The sequence below is a fragment of the Homo sapiens genome, chromosome 7 (genome assembly GCF_000001405.40).
Source record: "Homo sapiens chromosome 7, GRCh38.p14 Primary Assembly".
In the NCBI taxonomy this organism is placed as follows: domain Eukaryota; kingdom Metazoa; phylum Chordata; class Mammalia; order Primates; family Hominidae; genus Homo; species Homo sapiens.
The window spans coordinates 158,181,044-158,201,638 of record NC_000007.14 but is presented as its reverse complement, the minus strand read 5'-3'; the positions used below and the strand labels follow the sequence as shown (position 1 = coordinate 158,201,638).

Here is a 20,595-nt window from a genome sequence, read left to right as displayed (position 1 = left end):
TTGTAAGATGCTTCTTATTGGACCTAAAAGGGTGCCTGGCTCTTGGTTGATTATCTCCTGGATCTGGAAAGGAAGGAAGGAAAACAAAGGGGAAAGTAGATCCCTATAGAATGTGGATTTTTCCCACAAGAGACTTTGCAGGGCAATTTCCAGGTATTGCAAGGAAATATATTTTAGAGTTAAATATTTTGATTTTTTCCCTTTGTCTCATAATGTTCTGCCAGAGTCAGACTGAAAAGTCAGTCACGATATATAGGGTCAAATAAAACCCATCTGATGAGAATTTATGGTTTGTGGGGTATGACTTCCCAGACCTCTTAGATAGGAATTTGGACAAGAGAAAAAATCAGAGCTTAGTTCTCACTATTATGGTTTTTAAAATTACTCAGCACTTGTGTAGTTATATTCCTTTGCATTGTAAACGTACGTTTTCTTTAGCCAGGTGTGGTGGCGCCTGGCTACTCAGGAGGCTGAGAGAGAGGATCACCTGAGCCCGGGGGATTGAGGCTGCAGTGAGTCATGATCACACACAGCACTCTAGCCTGGGAGAGAGAGTGAGACCCTGTCTCAAAAAAAAAAAACCACTTTTTTTTCACCCTTGTAACATGATTTTTAAAAAGAATTATCTCTTAGATTTTCTTCTTTTTGCTGTTCTCTTTTAAATAAAACTTCTTCAGTAAAACTTATTTACGCTATTTATTCATTTTTAAAAAAATAATGAAATCACATAAATAATTTGCTTTTGAGCATAATTTTAACATCATTCTATAACTGATGAATTCTCACTTGCTTTTGTTCTAAATTATCTGTAATTGTCATTTTATATCCTTTTGAAACAATAAATGTTTGGTAGGCTTTTCTACTTTTTCATATTTATGTGTTGTTTTTAAACTTCAAATTAGTGTCTAATTCTACTGCATTTTAGTCAGAATGTGACTTTGTTCAACTTTTACTCTTTGGTAATTTTGAGGTTTTCTTTGGCCTAATTGATACCATACTTAATCTTCAATTGGCGCTTCAAAAATATATTTGTATAACTATTTGCAGGATACAGACTTTTATAAATAGTTTATAATTATATATATATGATGTGTAATTAGGTAAAAATGTGTCAATTGTATTACTTCAACATGTCCTTATTTATATTGTGACTTTCTGAAATTTCTCAGACAAAAACAGTAATCTGTGAGTTTTCTTTGGGGGTTGATGTGTTTAGCTTCATAGGCTCTGAGGCTCTGCTGCTTAGCACACGGGGGCTGCGTCAGCTCGTCCTCGGCGTCCATCATTAGTGGATTGTTGTTTAAATGGTGCCTGCATCTCCCTTAATGCTTGTTGTCTTGGATTCCATTTTCCTAAATGAGTAGGGCCTTTCCTGCTTCCTCTTTGTTTTTGTTGCCTGATTAATCCATGGCTATCTTCAGAATTTGACCTTTGAGACTGGTTCTGTTTGAAACTCAGCTTTTATAAGATCAAGTGGTGTTTCCAAAGCCCCTTGGGTCAGGTCGGAGGGCGAGTTATAGCAGCAAGGGGACTGATTCCTCTGTGGGGCTTTTTCTTCTCATATGTGGATTGTGGCTTGTTTGCCTTCTCATACGTGGATTGTGGCTCGTTTGCCTCTTCTTTAGTATTCGTAATTTTGTCTTATTTTGGATTTAATTTGTGGCCATCACCTCTAGATTTTCAAGCGATTTTATAGTAATGGATTTGTTTCATTCCTCATTAAAGGGATCATGTTCTGATTCCTGCTGCATGATAAGGAACCGTGTTGGCTTTCAGCATCCTCACTCCCCACTCCCAGGAGCTGCTTCTAACCAGGCTCCCCTAGTGCCTGCCTGTGCCCTTCACCAGATGGACCCTGGGCCAGCATTTGTTGGATAAATGGTGGTGAAGGACAGAATGCGTGATCTGCCCAAGCCTTTGAATTCTTGCATGGGTAGCTACACTAACGAAGAATGTCACCTGGCTTTCTCCACTCCATGTGTATTCAGAGCATTCTGAGCTTCACAGCTGAACAAGAATCCACCATGGGCCAGTGACATAGTAGCTGGTGTTCTTTACATAAGGCAGTTAATCTCCAGAGATTGAGTAACTTGCTGAAAACCAATCATCCATTCATGAAATAAAGGCGACATTAGAATGAAGTCTTCAGAATCCCCAGCCCTGTTTTTGGGCTTACCAGAGTGGCAACCACAAGCTCATTTCTCCTGCTGGTTCTTCTCTTCCCACACATGAGGTCCCTTAAGCAGAGTAAGCCCCATGAGAGAAAGCCAGAAAGAGACGCAGTGTGGAAAATCAGCAAAGCAGTAGGTATGAGTGCCCAGTGTGAGGAACAGAGCTCGCACCTAAGGGGTCACCAGGAACCTGAGAACATGCTAAAGGCTAAGAGAACCTGAGAACCAGGAACCTGAGAACACGCTAAGGGCTAAGAGACCTTGAGAACTGAGAGCCTAAGAACATGCTAAGGACTAAGGAGGACCTGAGAACCAGGAACCTGAGAACATGCTAAAGTCTAAGGAGGAGCTGAGAACATGCTAAGGGCTAAGAGAGTCAAGGAAGGGGAACCTGAGAACTGAGAACTTGAGAACATGCTAAGGGCTAAGATAACCAAGAACCTGGGAACATGCTAAGGGCTAAGGAGGATCTGAGAAGCCAGAACCTGAGAAGAACATGCTAAGGGCTAAGGAGGACCTGAGAAGCCAGAACCTGAGAAGAACATGCTAAGGGCTAAGGAGGACCTGAGAAGCCAGAACCTGAGAAGAACATGCTAAGGGCTAAGGAGGACCTGAGAAGCCAGAACCTGAGAAGAACATGCTAAGGGCTAAGGAGGACCTGAGAAGCCAGAACCTGAGAAGAACATGCTAAGGGCTAAGGAGGACCTGAGAAGCCAGAACCTGAGAAGAACATGCTAAGGGCTAAGGAGGACCTGAGAAGCCAGAACCTGAGAAGAACATGCTAAGGGCTAAGGAGGACCTGAGAACCAGGGATCATGCTAATGGCTAAAGAGAACCAGGGATCATGCTAAATGCTCCTGAGGCAGGAACAGGGACAACAAATACCAGCTGTGTATATGAGCACCGATGACTTCACAGAGAACTTCAGGTGGCCATGAAGGTTGGATATAAAACATAAGATGGGCCTGTAATGTGGAATTTTTTCCTTTAACAAACTGGGTGACAATCTAGACTATCTCATATTATCGTGAGCCTAAGGCCAGTGTGTGCCAATGGAGAAGGGAATAGCTACTAAGTGTAAAACATTTTTCATCTTTTTAAAGTACAAAATTCATACGTATGAAGTTTTGACCTACTTCAAGCTGGATGACAGAGCAAAAGTCAATGTGCAAGTTAATTGCTACAACACCACGCGGCATAATGATAAACCCTCTCATTGCCGTAACATACTGCAGCATCACAAACAAGTCCCCAGGCATGGACAGAGGCGAAGCAAAGATGAATACGACAATTTAAAGATACATTTATGAGGTGGTTCCATTTGCATTGATTAGCAATTAGTGAGAAAAGTAGACAAAATACCAGAAAAGTAAATTAACTGCAGTTAAATTACACTCTGACAACATAGAACATGAAATTTCATTAATTAAAAAATGGCCAAGGAAATTATAGCCATGATTTGAGATGCAAAGAACTGCAAAAGCCTTGGTAATTTATATGCCTGTTACATCTGTATCAGTGTAACTTGAAAAGTGATATTGTTTGGCTGTGTCCCCACCCAAATCTCATCTTGAATTGTAGTTCTCATAATCTGCACGTGTCATGGGAGGGACCCAGTGGGAGGTAATTGAATCATGGAGGTGGCTGTCTCCATGCTGTTCTCATGATAGTGAGTGAGTTTTCACGAGATCTGATGGTTTTATAAGGGACTCTTTCCCCTTTGCTCCTTGCACTTCTCTCTCCTGCCACCTTGTGAAGAAGGGTGTGTTTGCTTCCCCTTCTGCCATGATTGTTACGTTTCCTGAGACCTCCCCAGCCATGCTGAACTGAGTCAATTAAACCTCTCCTTTATAAATTACCCAGTCTCAGGTATATCTTTATGAGCAGTGTGGGAACAAAGTAATACAAAAAGGCACTAGAAATAAAAACATGGTGGGTTTATCAATTGAGATAATCAAGCAAAAATGGGATTTTTTTTATAAGCCCCATGCAGGTATCACACACCTAATGTTAGTGATCTGTTCTTGAAAATCAACATCCTACATGGAAACAGTACCTGGAAACCTATTCCATTACTGTATGTGGGAAATTTGTAATGAGTTCCACATCCACTCAAGCCCCAGTGTATTTCCTAAAGTGTTTCTAAATCACACTAAAGACCCATATACAAGTACCAGATGGTCATGTTTGGATAGAAGACACTTCTTGCTGATACCCAGAAGTGGAAATTGTTCTTAGCAAAGTGTATGTTCTATTTGAAGTAATACTGCCTCACTCAGCACCTGCAAAGTCTGAGCTGCACCTCCCTCAGGCTGTTGGGTGATGCCACAGTGCTGTGTTTGGAGACATACCCAGACTTTTTCTGAATACGATTTTGTTCAGAATGTAGCATCAAATTCTGTGAAAGGAGATACACATGCACACGCACACACACACACATACATGTATATACATATATACGTATACAGGTGCTCCTTGACTCATATCTACCTCCTGTGCCTGCCTAGGGAGCCTGGGCTGTTCATATCCCTCATTGTGGAGCTCTGCTGGGGATGATGTCCTTCAGTGTCGTATTTCTAAGAGAGCCATAAGTCTACCTTTGTATTTGAAGGATATTTTCATGGGATATAGAATTCTGGGTTACTTTTTTTTCTTTCACTACTTTAAAAATGTTTTCCATCGTCTTCTGGCCTGGAGCACTTCTCAAGGAGAAATCTATAGTCGCCTTTCCACTGGCATCGGGGGCACTGGATTGAAGTCCCCCAAGATCCTCACTAGCCGTGGGCAGGGCCCCAGGGGTGCCCGGGGAGCTACATCTCGGTTGGGTGTCTGGACAGCAGACTCTGTAGTCCTGAAGTCCAAATGCAGGGTCTTGGGAAGACCCCTCATGGGGAAGTGAAGAGACGGGTTTGGCCGAGGAGAGGTTGGACTCAGTGTGGTCATGACAGAGGCCTCAGGAGCCCTCACCCCTCCTCAGGGGCTGGGGACCAGTGTGGGATGCAGACCTCCCTAGATGGGGTATAAACGTGGGTGAGGCAGACCCCCATGGTGGAGGGCCATTTTGGGAGGGGACGCAGCTGTGTGGCGATGACACTTGCCCCCAGCTGCCTCAGGGACAGTGGTGCTCAGTGGCCTGCCAGAGTTGATGAGACAGAGCTGAAGGTCTGGGGAAACCAAGGCAGCTTGAGTTCACAGGTCAGAGTATAAAAGAGAAGAGTGCACAGAGAGCCCTGGAGATTTTCAGCCACTGCTGAGGATTTGGTAGATGACTGATGACCTTGTGTCTATGAGGGAAAAGAACCATCCAAAAAAATGAGAGCAAACAGTATCTGACATTCACACAGGGTGCGACATAGTGCTTCTTCAAACCTATCAAGACTTGCAAACCTCATAATTTCCAGATAATTGGGTAGAATGCCCACAGAGTCCTGTCTTAGTAGTGGGGAGTAATTTGTCATAGATAATTGCTGCTCTGATACTGCCAAACAAGACTTAAAAGTAAGAACCGAGAGGGTTGAACTGGTCCCAAGGAACTTAACTGAATGCCAGAGCAAAGGTAAATAATATTTATGGGATTGCAAATGTCCATCACCCAATAAGGTAAAATTCACAATGTGAATATATAGACATGGATTATCTGGCATGAAAAGGAGCAGGAAAATGCAACTCATAAAATTCATCAGTGTAGACACAGAACTGACACAGACACAATAAGTAGGAGACAGGAAAATTTCATGGGTGGAATGAATAGCAGATTAGACACTGTGGTAGAAAATATTAGTGAACTTGAAGACACAGCAATAGGAACTATCCATAAGGAAACAAGGAAGGATAATTAAAAAAAAATAAAAAACACCAGTGAGCTATGGGACACATCTAAAGGCCAAATATCTGTATAACTGGAGTCCCAAGGCGGGAGAGACAGGAACAGAAAAATCATTTGAAGAAATAATGAGGAAAATTGTTTCAATATGATAAAAATGATAAACTCACAGAGCCAGAAAGCTCAATAAGCCCCCTAAAAAAGAAACATGAAGACTAAGAAATATCATAATAAAATTTCTCAAAACCAGTGATAAAAAGCCAACCTTAAAAGCAGCCAGAGGAAAAAAAGGTGCATTTCATAGAGAGATGAGATGATGAAGGCCACTGCAGGTTTCTCCTTGAGAATGCTCCAGGCCAGAAGACGATGGAAAGCATTTTTAAAGTACTGAAAGGAAAAACAAACAAACAAACATCAACCCAGAATTCCATATCCCATGGAAGTATCCTTCAGATACAAAGGTAAAATTATTGGCTTTCTCAGAAATACAGACGCTGAAGGACATCATCACCCACAGAGCTCCATGACCAGGGCTGGTAAAGCCGCCGTTCTGGCAGAAGGGAAAGGTGCCAGATGGAAACCAATGAGAGAACACGCGAAGGCAACTGCATCCACCGATAGATGGTGTTTTCCTGTCACTTAAATCACATTTAAAGAAGTTGATTAAACAAAAATGATGAAAGTGTATTGTGAGGTTGATAACATAGCTGTCAACAGAATTCATGTCAACACCGCATCAGAGCTGGAGGGAGAATTGCAAGGATCTATTTAAGGCTCGTATTTCATATGTTAAGTGGTGTGATGTCCCTTGGAGGCAACCTGTGGTCAGTTAAACGTGACAGTTATACACTATCTGTAATTTGGGCTTCTTGCCCTAACGAGGATCTAGACTTAGATGTTGAGAAGGTGAAGGTGGAGCCATGCCCCAGGGCTCTGAGGCAGCCAGTGCCTGGGCGCTCAGGAAAGTACCTGCCTCCACCTCGGACCTAGCCTCTCCCTGGCCTGAGAGAAGCAGATGGCAGCTGACCGCACCTGTAAAGCCTGTTATGAGGGAGGCCTGAGTCTTGTGCTGGCAGTGGGGCATGACGCCGGGGCCTGTGGCGTCTGGACCGTCCACTGCAGCACAAGTCGGACCTGAAGTGATTGGTCATCGCTGAGCATGGCTCTCAGCGGGAAGGGGATTTGGGAGCATTGCTGAGGGCGGCAGGTTCACAGAGGGCCCTGCCCTTGTCTGTGGGCAGCAGAGCCGGACAGCAAGGGCCCCCAGACTGGCCCATCTTTTTAATGGTGATGCCCGTTCTTTTATGGACATAAATGACGCACTCAATTAATTATACAAACTAAAAATAACCAGAATTAAAAGCTCTTTGGTCTGTGTCTAAACTCCATGTCTACGAAATCTTTGCATTTTATTAGAAGCATGGTGTGTGCGTGCAGGCGCACACATACACAGACAAACGCACACACGCACTCACACCCCTCACACACTCACACACACACTTACACAAACTCACACACGCACATGCGCGCGCGTGCACACACTTTTTTTGTTGTTGTTGAAACAGGGTCTTCCTCTGTTGCCTGAGGCTGGAGCACAGCGGCGCTATCGTAGCTTACTGCAGCCTCAAGTTCCTGGGCTCTAGTGACCCTCCTGCCTCCACTTCCCAAAGTGCCAGGATTATAGCTGCGAGCCCCCATGCCGGCCTCACATTATATTCCTTTTTTTTTTTTTTTTTTTTGAGACAGAGCCTTGCTGGAATGTGGAGGTGGGGTGCAGTCACTCACGCAGGTGTTCTTAAACCTGGCTGGTAGAGGCGTCTCCTATGGGAATTATCTTCCTTATTTAGGAGCATGCTCTGGGCCCTTTTGGTCATGTGCAAAAAAGCAAAGGCCTCCGTGGGGGCTGTGAAGCTCTGGGCGGCTGAGTCCTGGGTGCAGAGACCAGCGGCAGAGTCTGCGGGTGAGCTGGGCAGGGAGGGCCATGCCCATCCCTAGGGAGGCCATGCCCATCGTGTCCCAGGCTGAGACGCTGCCCCGTGGCTCAGGCAAGCTCTCCGCCACAGCTGAGGGTAAAGGGGGACAGGGCGCAGGCTCAGGGGGCCACGGACATCCTCTGTGCATGCCCAGGCCTCCACCAGGGCTCCCCATAAACATGGGGAGTCCTGACTCTGTCTCTCCGGGGCCTGTTGGGCGTTACCGCGACTTTTCCAGTGAATCTCCCTGGTTCTGCTCTTCCTTTCCGTGTGGCTGCACAAGCTGGTGATGGGGGCCCCACTGGCAAGTGGCTGCTTTCTCAGGGACTCTGAGCATCATTAGTGGGGGCCACATGTGGCTGACACGTCCAGCTGCCTCCTGGATTTATGCCTTCAGCACGCAGCTGTCCCATGGGGCCCCTGGCCAGCCGTGCCTGGTTCTTGGCCTTGTCCTCGCTGGCCCTACCCCTGCCGCCCTCAGCAGGGTGGGCACCACATGTGTCTGCCCACGGGAAGCGTCCCATGTGTTTGTCCTTCTAGCCTCCGGCGTCCCTGCCCTGCATGGTGCACGCGATGGCGGTGCGTGAATCACTGTTTAACAGCAGGGACTGCAGCGGAGGGGCTGAGAGCACTGCATGGACGTCCCGAGGCTGTGGCGAAGTACATCAACCTAAGGCCTAAAACAATGCACATTTATCAGGCGAGAACCTGGTTCCTGCCTTTTCCAGCTTCTGGGCCGCCACCTTCCTTGGTCTACCCACAAACCCAGCAGAAGCCATGCCAAGCCTTGGGCCCCCCATGCCCACCCGGCCTCTGGCTGCCTCAGCCTCCTGGAGAATTCCTGCTGAGCCTGCAGCCAACACCTGCAGCTTCCTCCCTTTCTCCCCTCCCCTTGTTTCCCATGTATTGCTTTTGCTTCCTGTCTTCTGCTCTCAGCAGGGGTCAATCGTCCATCCCCACAACCACGAGGCAGGTGCTGTTAGCCATCCTCGTGCAGGACACAGGCTCGGGGGCCCGGGAGAAGTTCAAACCCATGGTCATGGAGCAGCAAGGCCAGGCCGGCCACCGAGAGCCCGGCTCCCAGCCCCTTGCATGCACCCAGGCACCACAGGGGACAGAGCAGCTCCAGGCACCAGCAAACATGCGGTTGATGTCTGGTTTCTTTTGCTTTTTCAGGCCCTCAAAACACAGCGTTGGCAGCGAGAGGAGGTACAGTCGGGAGGGCGGTGCTGCCCTGGCCAACGCCCTCCGACGCCACCTGCCCTTCCTGGAGGCCCTGTCCCAGGCCCCAGCCTCAGACGTGCTCGCCAGGACCCATACGGCGCAGGACAGACCCCCCGCTGAGGTGACCCTTCCACTTCCTCCCCGGGCCGGGGTTGGCTTTTCCTTCAGGGTGCAGGTACCTGGGCATGTTTCCTTAGTCGCTGGCTCCTCTTGGCTTTGCGCCTGTTTCCCGGGCCAGCGGGCATCCTGTGAACAGGGCTTCGGTGTTCCTGGGGCCCCTTAGAGCGACACCTGCTCCCAGTCCAGCCACCCCCACAAATGCTTAGTCCTCTGGGTGAGGCTCTGTAGGATCTTTCTTGGGACAAGGTGTCGTGACTCCAGAAAGCCCACCATTTAAACCACAGATGCACACCAGGGAGGTAGAGGAGATAGGTGGCTGCTCTTCACCCTTTGAGAAAGGATCCGGGACAGCAGTGGACACTGAAACCTGACTGAGGTAGACTGAGGGGCCATGAACATGGCTGGAATTAGGGGGCACCAGGTGCAACTACTGCATCCAAGGAAAGCTCCTGCTCCCCGGCAAGCCTGCCCCGGGGGCAGCCCAGGGCAGCGTAAGGGCTCCATCTGCCTGTGGGCATGAGGGTCTGGGCACCAAAACACAAGGTGATGCCCTGGGCACACAGACCCCAGACAGGCTCGGAGGCGAACCCCAGGAGTGTTTATGCAGGGCGAGTGGGAGCTGCAAGGACCCGCATCACAGAGCCACCCAAGACCCTTCACTATGCGAAGCCCACTCAACATCTTAAGGACACGGAATTAGGAATCTCAGTAAATTTTGTAAATGGAAAAGCAGGCATGATTTTTATGACGACTTGTTAGGCCAGAGTTCACAGGTCCCACATTGCCTGGAAAGAGGGAGGGACAAGAGCTGCAGAAATCACCTTTGGAGCCCAGCCCTGCCAGCTTCCTGGGATAGGATTTTGGACCAGGTGTTGAGGCCCAGGATGGCCCTGGGGACATTGGGGGTTTGATGGCGACGCTCACACACTCCTTTTCTGCCAAACGTTAGTTACATCAGCTCTAATTTGACACACTTTCCTTTCTAAGATGGAAGCCATGCTGGTGTGAGACAGGAAAGCCTGAGGACCCTCTGCATCCTCTTGGACTCCACTGGGGTCTCACCAGGAGCTGTGGCCCTGGGATATGTGTGGGAAGCAATGTGGGCCCAGTTTCTATTATGTTCCTGCCATCGAGCCATTGAAATGACTTAAGTTAACTCTGGGCAACCCCCACAGACCTCGAAAGGTAGAGTCCTCCCAGAGGACGCGTGGCCACTAAGCTCAATCCCAGGCCAGCTTAGGGGCTTCCTGGAACCTTGCACCAAGCGTGGGAACCACAGGGTGAGTTTCCACAGAAGTTGGCCCCACAAGGTGGCACGTTCTGTGCAGGCAGGTGAGGAAGCTGAGGCACTTCTGTGTCTTAGCAGGTGGTGCCTGGGGAAGGCCCGGCCTTGGCCCCATGGTTCTCTGGAGCCTTTCCGAGGGCAGCTCCTGGGCAGCCATCTTTGCTGTGGCCTTGCCTCTTCAGGAGGATGTCACAATGACGTTTGAATGCAGAAGCCAGTCTGTCCACGGCCGCCAAACAGAGCCCTGATGCTGGCCCAGAGCCATGCAGGGGCCACGGGGTGCCAGACCCACAGGCCACAGTTGAGAGGCTGCTCAGGAGGGCCCAGTGGCACCTGGGCCATATTTGTGTTTTTCCTGATCATGGACTGTGTTTCCTGGTTGGTTGAAATCACCCCTCATGGTGGAGGGTGGGGGTCTTCAGCCCTCGTGGAAGTACAGGGTCACAGGGCTCTGTGGGCCCCAGGTCTCCCTCTAAGGTTAGGCTCACAATGAAAGGCCAGTCCCAGCCCTGCTCTGTGCCAGGCCCACCTCCCATCAGGACCACTGGCTGGCCTGAAAAACATGCCCCAAAGCCTTCCAGGAGCCTGTGGGAGTCTCTCTGTGTGGGCCTAACCCTAGAGGGTCTGGTCCACTTAACACTATTTTAAACAGGCTAAATTTAAAGTTTTTATTCATTAACTGAGAGCAACTAAGCACGTCTGGTGCGCCAGACATCCTGCTGGATTTTGTGGATGCAGAAGGTGGATTTCATGCAGCTCTGTCCTTGGGTCAGAGGCTCCTCCACCCACTGCTCTGGGGCCAGGGGGAGCCGCTCAGCTTCTGTGCCTCGAGTCCTCAGCTGTAAACCAGGGGTAGTGGCCCTGGAGGTGTCATGAGAGCCACGTGTGAAGCTCCTCATGGAGTGCCCAGTCAGCAATAGCTGTAACCGTAACTATCGTTGATAAAATAATCTTTAAAAAATGAAATAGAAATTAGGTTGAGAGTCTGAACCAGGCTCAGTGGAGGTCTCCGACTCTGATGAGAGGAATCAGAGGGCGCCAGGACACTGGCAAACATATTCCCTCCGCACACCTGTGCCTCGGCACCACAGAGCAGGTCTCAGCACAGCACGGTGGAAACTGGCATTTCTCCCACCCTCTTGAACGTTGGTAATTTAGCACCTCCAGCTCTGAAATCATTGCTTTGTCCTCCTCCTCTGCCCCGCTGTGTCTTTATCAGAAGGGCTGTGGGGCCCTGTGCTCTGCCTCCACTGCTGCTGGGAGATTTCAGGCTTCTGTAACGGCGCCGTGACGTCACGTCCCCAGACGCTGGAAGTGAATGATCAGTAAAGTAACCCACGTGCAGTCCAGAGATGGTTTTAGTAACATACGAGGGAAGGGGGAGGCGTCATTAAAAGTTTCAGAGACTCGGAAGAAGTTTGAGAGAAGGGAAATCAGTTGACACTTTTCTGTGAAGCAGTTTCCTGTCTTTCCCCCCTGACTTGACAGTGGCGTGCTCACCTAGACTGACGTCCAAGGGCCCTCTTCACGGGCTACTGAATAGAGAAAGGCAGGAGCGTAGCCTTGGAGGCTCGTCCAATGTGCCTTGGATGGGCCAGTGAGCGAGTCGTCACCTGCAAACAGCATTTGGTTTCATTCAATGGGAGCCTCAGTTGTTCCATTTTGAACCCATCATCATGCTCCTCCTTCGGTTTCAGTTATTTTATTAAATAGCCCTGGCACTAAAATAAAAGAGTCAGAGTTAGAATGGAATTTGCCTGTGGGACAAGGCGCAGCATGGATTCGCCTCGAGGGTAAATGGAATGGCTGCAGTGCTTCCCTGCCCTCAGCAGCCAGACGTGAGGTCGGCCAAGCAGCCGCAACATCCACACATTAGAAACAAACCGTAGCAAATTGCAGGAACTCGTTGAGAGTGAAGGTCTTTGGTAGATATTGAGCAATTCGTGCTATGAGCCATTGGGAGGTATCCTAGTGATGCCCCATGAGATGGCTCATAGCAGCCCCTGGGGAAAGCAAGTTCCTGCCAGAGACAGGATGCCTTCCTAGGCCGAGCACAGTGTACTGCATGTCCTGGGATGCTTTCCAGGTGCTCAGTGGTTCTGCTGGACTCAGCAGCTCAGTGCTCATTAGGCCAAAGGGCCCGTGGCCTCGTCACACTAACCAGTTGTATTTACTGAAGTCTTTCCATTCCTGGCTTACTGCACTAGGATTCCAGCACCAGCATTCTCAACACACGCCCCGGAGTGCTCTGGAAGCAGCCTTCCCCATACAGCGGGTGAGCGTGGCGGCCTTCCCCATACAAGGCGGCGAGCGTGGCGGCCTTCCCCCTACAGGGGGCGGGCGTGGCGGCCTTTCCAGTACAGGGGGCGAGCGTGGCGGCCTTCCCCATCAGGGGGCGAGCGTGGCGGCCTTCCCCATCAGGGGGCGAGCGTGGCGGGCTTCCCCATCAGGGGGCGAGCGTGGCGGCCTTCCCCATACAGGGGGCGAGCGTGGCGGCCTTCCCCATCAGGCGGCGAGCGTGGCGGCCTTCCCCATCAGGGGGCGAGCGTGGCGGCCTTCCCCATCAGGCGGCGAGCGTGGCGGCCTTCCCCATCGGGGGCGAGCGTGGCGGCCTTCCCCATCAGGGGGCGAGCGTGGCGGCCTTCCCCATCGCGGGGCGAGCGTGGCGGCCTTCCCCATCAGGCGGCGAGCGTGGCGGCCTTCCCCATCAGGGGGCGAGCGTGGCGGCCTTCCCCATACAGGGGGCGAGCGTGGCGGCCTTCCCCATACAGGGGGCGAGCGTGGCGGCCTTCCCCATCGCGGGGCAAGCGTGGCGGCCTTCCCCATCAGGCGGCGAGCGTGGCGGCCTTCCCCATCGCGGGGCGAGCGTGGCGGCCTTCCCAGTACAGGGGGCGAGCGTGGTGGCTGCCTCTGCACTAGGACATCCCTTCCGTTGGGAGCTCGTGACGGGGCCACTGGGGGTTCATCTCTTGGGTTGCGACCCTGCCGCTCCCCAGGGCTGCTGGGTGCATGGAGGAGGAGCATCTTCCACCACTGCCCCCATCTTGCCTGCTCTCCATTTCAAGAAAGAGGAATGGGAGAGGGGCGTGGGCACCGGTCATGTCAAATATTCCACCAGCAGCCAGGGTCCACCTTCTGATAAGTTTGGCTGTGTCACCTTGGAATCTCCTACACACGATGGTCGGCCTCACAGTCCTGGTCTCTACTGTTACTCAGCATAATTATCAGGAAGTCATTCTTTCCCACTCGGAGGTGTCCCAGTTTGAATTAATGAGCTCCGTGGTCATTCCAGCACACAGACATTTAGCACAGCTGTCAAACGGTTATTCAGAAAATGAGCACTTGGTGGCATTTTGGCTTAGGTATTTTTCTTCTTTGTTAAGATAGATGCTTCTCAGTATTTAAAAAAATGCATGAAAACCCAGAACTCATTTTCTTTTCTGTCCAGTGTTTAAATGAGGAGAAAGCTCTTAGTCATCTTGCTAATGAACAAAGACTGAATAAGCACAGGAAGTGCGTGACCAGAGGCTGCAGCGCTGCCGTGCAGATTTTGCTGCCCCGTAAATATAGGGACTTAGAGATCTGGGCCCCGGCTTCTCCCCTCCCCTCTCAGCTGATGAAATATTTTAATTGGAAATTTAAGCTTTATATACTGACGATCTTTGAAGGTACAATCAACTTCCTGTGAATTATTTTATAAATCATTGTTTTCTATGTACCCATCATCAAAAATGAAACTCTAGCGTAGATGGAGAAATATCCTAAACATATTGCCTTTCAGGGCCTTCATGCTGGTGACGTCATAACAGAATTATTTTATTTTATTCCACTGGGAATATAATCATGCTCTTTCTCTTTGTTCATTAGCGAGATGACTCAGAGCTTTCTCCTCGTTTAAACACTAATTGAGCACTTATTGATCACTAAATCAAGGTGTCGTTACGACTTCTGCATTGTGAGGGTGGTAACGCTTCCTGTTTTATTGACTGTGGTAGCACCAGTTCACAGTCCTTGAACTCATCATGCAGAACACCATAAATTCCCTGTCCACTCTGTTACTGAGGAGGTTTAGTCAGAAATTCATTACTTACCAATACCATTAACTAGCTGATTTATCTTGGAAATGTTTAAAAAACATATTTAACATACAAGAAATGGTGCTAGATTAAGGAAATGATTAAGGAAAGTTAGTTTCTGTCCTTTAGGATTTTACAGTTTTGCTGGGTAGGAGGGAGAAAACAAGCAAGCAAAAAATATAATTAAAAAATTAAAGCAAGTGCTGTGATGGAGGGAACACAGAAAGTAAAGGTGCACTCATGCCAGAGGGGGCAGGTGGCCCAGGCGGGCTTCTGACAGAGGGGGCAGGTAGGCCCAGGCGCGCTCATGCCAGAGGGGGCAGGTGGCCCAGGCGGGCTTCTGACAGAGGGGGCAGGTGGGCCCAGGTGCGTTCATGCCAGAGGGGGCAGGTGGCCCAGGCGGGCTTCTGACGGAGGGGGCAGGTGAGCCCAGGCGTACTCATGCCAGAGGGGGTAGGTGGCCCAGGTGGGCTTCCAAGAGGACGGCCTTGGGGGACGACCAGGAGACACCTCCTGCAGGTGTACGATGGACGTAGGGTGCAGAGTGTCAGGAGCCCATTCTCCTCCCACCCCGACCACATGAGTGAGCCCCCGGGAGAAATCTGCCAGGAGACTATCCCCCTCCCACCCCAACAACACGAGTGAGCCCCAGGAGAAATCTGCCAGAGCTGAGGACACAGGAAAAGAGGATGAACTGCATTCCAGAAAGGGATGGATGAACCCATTCCAAGGAGAGGAGACCACAGCTTCTTTCATGCGCATTGGAATGGAAGAAGCAGAAGCCAGTCACAGGAAGTGGGGAGAATTCGGCCTAAATTTTAAGAAACTCTTGAGGTGCATGGAACAGATTTGAGAGACAGGCTGTGCAAAGCGAGTGTCTGCACCCCCGCCTCTTTCCTGTGGGCTTTCGCTGAGTATGTGAGATGCGGCACTAGGGATGGAGGAGGGAGAGGGCTGGGAGAAATCCTGCCAAGGAGCACCAGGCCTCTATGGAGTGCCCCATGTGGCCTTCTGAAGACTGGGGACAAGGGAGCATGGTGGAAAAAGATCTGTTGAATCTTTCTAAGGGTGCAGAAAGCCAGGGTGGGACCGACGGGGAAGAGAAGCTTCAGAAACTCACAAACTGACACTTGGACCATAAAGCAGAGAGCTCCCCCATGGTTCAGAAACCTGGCGGCTGAGTGCAGAGCATAAAGGGATCTCGAGTCTCACTGGAGCCCAGATCCAAGCCTGGGCGAAGAAGGCAACTTAGACCTAAAGGATGGAAAATGTGTACGATGGAAACTCGAAAGGCAGGAAAGCTGGTGTGGTCATGTTAATATTAGACAGAGTGGACTTCAAGACTAAAAGTGTTATTCATGACAGAGACACTTTATGATGACTAAATGGTCAATTCATTAAGATGCTATAGAAAAATGTTATGAACCAATTTCAGAGCTTCAAATACATAAAGGAAATATATGAGAGTACTAAAGAGAGGAACATACAGGTCGATCATGATCATTAATGATTGAAACTCTCCTCTGTCAGTAACTGATTAAACAAATAGATAAAGTATCAGTAAGGATAGAGAAGATTTGAACCACAGCATTAACCAGTCTAAGCTAAGTGATGTTTATAGAATGATACACCTAAAAACTGCTAAACACACATTCTTTTTGAGTATGTTATATAGAATATTTCCCAAACTAGATCAAATGCTGGGCCATAAAATAAGTCTCAATAAATGTCAACAGATCAAAATCATACAGAGAAAGATTTTAAAAGAAAACTGCAGATTATTATTCTTCAGAAATATAGAAACAAAAATTCTAAACAATTTTTATCAAATTAAATTCAACAATATATAAAAAAGAATACTGCATCATAATCAAGGCAGATTTATCCCAGATATGCAGGGTATATCGAACATTTAAACATCAACCAACATAACTCACCATAGTTACATAGACCATGTGATGGTCTCAGTAGATACTGGAAAAAGCATTTGGCAAAACCCAGCATCCATCCATCCATGACGGAAACCTACATCTAAGATTACATCAACTGGTGAAGGGCTGAATGCTTTCCACTTAAAATCTGGCATTAGACGAGGATGTCTGCTCTTACCTCTTCAATTCAACACTGCATTGAAGATCTTTTTTTTTTCTTTTGAGACGGAAGTTCATTCTTCTTGCCCAGGCTGGAGTGCAGTGGCACAATCTTGGCTCACTGCAACCCTCTGCCTCCTGGGTTCAAGTGATGCTCCTACCTCAGCCTCCCGAGTAGCTGGGATTATAGGCACCCACCACCATGCCCGGCTAATTTTTGCATTTTCAGTAGAGACTAGGTTTCACCATGTTGGCCAGGCTGGTCTTGAACTCCTGACCTCAGGTGATCCACTGCCTGTCACATTGAAGATCTTAGCCAGTGCAATAAAACAAGAAGAAATGAGAGGCATTCAGATTACATAACCTTTGTCAAAAATTTGGTGGAACCTACAGAAAAGCTACTAAAACTAGTAAATATAGCAATGCTGTAGAGTGCAAAGTCAGCACACAAAAATTAATTTATTTCTGTATACTAGCAACAATTAAATATGAATTTTAAAAAATATAGTAGCATCAAAAATTATGAAATAATTGAGGTTGAATCTAAAATATGTGTAAGACAATGTACAATGAAAACTACAATACATTGATGAGAACAATAAGACAAATTAATGGTGATATATACATGGTCATGTGTCTAAAGACTCAATAGTGTTAAGGTAGAAATTACCTCCAAATTGGTATCAATATGATACAAAAACACAATCCTTAAAAAAAATTGATAACTAGAACTTTGTCAAAATTTAAAAATTTTCTTCTTCAAAAGAAGACACTTCTTCGAAAGACACACAAAAGATTGAAAAGACAAGCCACATACTTAGAAAAATACTTGCAAATAGCACTTTTTAAGATAAAAAATTTCAGAATGTATAAAAATCTCTAAAAACTAAAAAAGCAGCACATTAAAAATGGGCATTTTTTTTCAAGACAGTGGATTAGAAGCGGTGTTAGCATGCCTCTCCCACTTGGAAAGACAAAATAGTGTGTAAAGATTCACACTGTGAACTTTTTTCCAAGAAGCGACACCAGAACTTGACAGGAAAACTAAAAGAAACCACAGAACCTTTGAAAGAAGTGGCAGGCTGCAGCCTACACTGTGAGCCAAGCAAAGAACTGTAAGCCCCACAGTGTGAGGGGGAGACACTGCCTCCAAGATATGCACCCCCACTGGAGAATTCAGCCCATGGGGGCGGGACCTTAACCCTACCAAGTCCTGGAACTGATTTAGGGAGCAGTGGAGAATATAAAGTAGGAGAAGCAGTAGAAAGAGCCCTGTGTGCATTCCCAGTCTCCAGCATGGATTGGGGAAGCCATTCTGCCTCACAGGGGACCTTGCGGAAGTCTGCCAACCAACTCAGTCAGTGGCCACGGGTTGAGAGAAGCTCCCAACTGAAATTTGCAATCTAATCTTGAGTGGGGACAAACTCCCTTGGCCATAACCCAGGGGGGAGTGGGAAGCACGCTGCAGCCACAAACACAGGATCTGGGAGCCTGGCTTTGCTGCTGGACTGGGATAGATGTGGTCTGAAAGCCACACTTCCTGTCTCCATGATGATTGGGACAATATCTCACATCTCAATATTAGTGTTGAATGTAAATGGCCTAAATCCTCCATTTAAAAGATAACAGATTGGTAGAATGGATAAAAAGACACAAACCAAATATCTGCTATCTCAACATAGTCACCTAACACATAAAGATGCATATAAAGTTAAGGTAAAGGGGTAGTAAAATATATTCCATGCAAATGGAAACCAAAAGTGAGCAGGAGCATTCTAATATCAGATAAAACAGACTTTAAAGCAACAACAGTAAAAAGAGACAAAGAAGGTCATTAAATGATGATAAAAGGGCCAATCCAACAAGAAGATATTACAATTCTAAATTTATATGCACCAAATGCTGGAGCTCTCAGATTCATAAAATAATTACTGCTAGATGTGAGAAGTGAGATAGGCAGCAACATGCCAACACTGGGGGACCTCAATACTTCACTGACAGTACAGGACAGATCATTGAGACAGAAAGTCAACAAGGAAACAATGGACTTAGTCTACACTCTAGAACAAATGGATCTAACAGATATTTACATAACATTCTAATCAAGAACTGCAGAATATACATTCTCCTCATGAGCACATGGAACATTCTCCAAAATAGAGTAGATGAAGAAAATGTGGTACATATACACCATGGAATACTATGCAGCCATAAAAAGGAATGAGATCATGTCCCTTGGAGGGACATGGATGAAGCTAGAAGCCATCATCCTCAACAAACTAACACAGGAACAGAAAATCAAACACTGCATGTTCTCACATATAAGTGGTAGTTGAACAGTGAGAACACATGGACACAAGGAGGGGAACAACACACACCAGGGCCTGCTGAGGGTTGGGGGGAGAGTGGAGGGAAATTAGAGGACAAGTCAATAGGTGCAGCAAACCACCATGGCACACATATACATAGGTAACAAACCTGCATGTTCTGCACGTGTATCCCGTCTTTTTAGAAGAAAAAGTAATGAAACAAAAAAAGACTGTATACTAGGCTACAAAACAAGTCTCAATAAATTTTTTAAAATTAAAATTATATCAAGTATCTTCTCAGACCACAGTGGAATAAAACTAGAAATCCACTCCAAAAGGAATTTTTTAAACTACACAAATACATGGAAATAAAAAAATATGCTCCTCAATGATTTTTGGGTTAACAGTAAAATCAAGATGGAAGTTTACAAATTCTTTGAAATGAATGATAATAGTGACACAAGTTATCAAAACCTCTGGGATATGGCAAAAGCAATGCTAAGAGGAAAGTTCACTGTGCTAAATGCCTATATCAGAAAGTCTGAAAGAGCCCAAAGTGACAACCTAATGTCACACATCAAGTAACTAGAGAAATATGAACAAACTAAACCCAAAGCTGGAAGAAGAAAATAACAAAGATCAGAACAGAGCTAAATCAATTTGAAGGAAAGAAACAAATACAAAAGATGAAACAAAAAATTGGTTTTTTGAAAATATAAACAAAATTGATGGACCATTAGCTAGATTAATCAAGAAATGAAGAGTGAAGATTAAAATAAGCTCAACTATACCACAGAAATACAAAAGATTATTCACGACTATTATGAACACTTCTATGCATACAAACTAGAAAATCTAGAAGAAATGAATACACGAATATATTCCTGCAAGCATACAACCCTCCTAGATTAAATTAGGAAGGAATAAAAACCCTGAACAGACTAATAACAAGCAGTGAGATTGAATCAGTAACTTAAAAATTGCCCATAACAAAAAAAGCCCAGGACCAGATGGATTCACAGCTGAATTATACCAGACACTCAAAGAATTGGTACCAATTCTACTGAAACTATTCCAAAGGATCAGGGCAGAGAGAATCCTCCCTAACTAATTCTATGAAGCCAGTATCACTCTGACACTAAAATCAGGGATAAAATAATGAACAAAAGCAAACTATAGACCAATATCCCTGATGAACATAGAGGCAAAAACCCTCTACGAAATACTAGCTGACTGAACCCAACAGCACATCAAAAAGATAATAAACCATGATCAAGTGGGTTTCATCCCAGGGATGCAGGGATGGTTTAACACATGCAAGTCAGTAAATGTGATACGTCACATAAACAGTTAAAAACAAACACCATACGATTATCTCAATAGATGCAGGAAAAGCATTCAATAAAACCCAGCATCACTTCATGATAAAAACTCTCAACAAACTCGGCACAGAAGGGACTTACCTCAAAATAATAAAAGCCATATATGATAAACCCACAACCAACATTATATGGAATGGGGAAA

General features: G+C 47.0%; 1 protein-coding gene across 14 annotated transcripts in view, besides 1 other annotated feature; it reads left to right on the top strand.

The window, feature by feature from the left end:
• PTPRN2 (protein tyrosine phosphatase receptor type N2) overlaps window positions 1-20,595 on the top strand; it is a 1,048,768-nt gene that overhangs the window by 386,185 nt on the left and 641,988 nt on the right. For all 14 annotated transcript variants that reach the window (XM_047420678.1, NM_130842.4, XM_047420679.1 and 11 more), the window contains one exon: window positions 9,144-9,312. In XM_047420678.1, the coding sequence (XP_047276634.1) occupies window positions 9,144-9,312 (169 nt within the window). The remainder of the gene's footprint in view (window positions 1-9,143; window positions 9,313-20,595) is intronic.
• Window positions 6,584-7,084: an enhancer, noted in NCBI's record as "H3K4me1 hESC enhancer chr7:157987247-157987747 (GRCh37/hg19 assembly coordinates)". NCBI's record gives its function as "activates a minimal SCP1, AML or CMV promoter by ChIP-STARR-seq in naive H9 embryonic stem cells {active_cell/tissue: H9 hESC(naive)}" and the evidence as "EXISTENCE:reporter gene assay evidence [ECO:0000049][PMID:30033119]".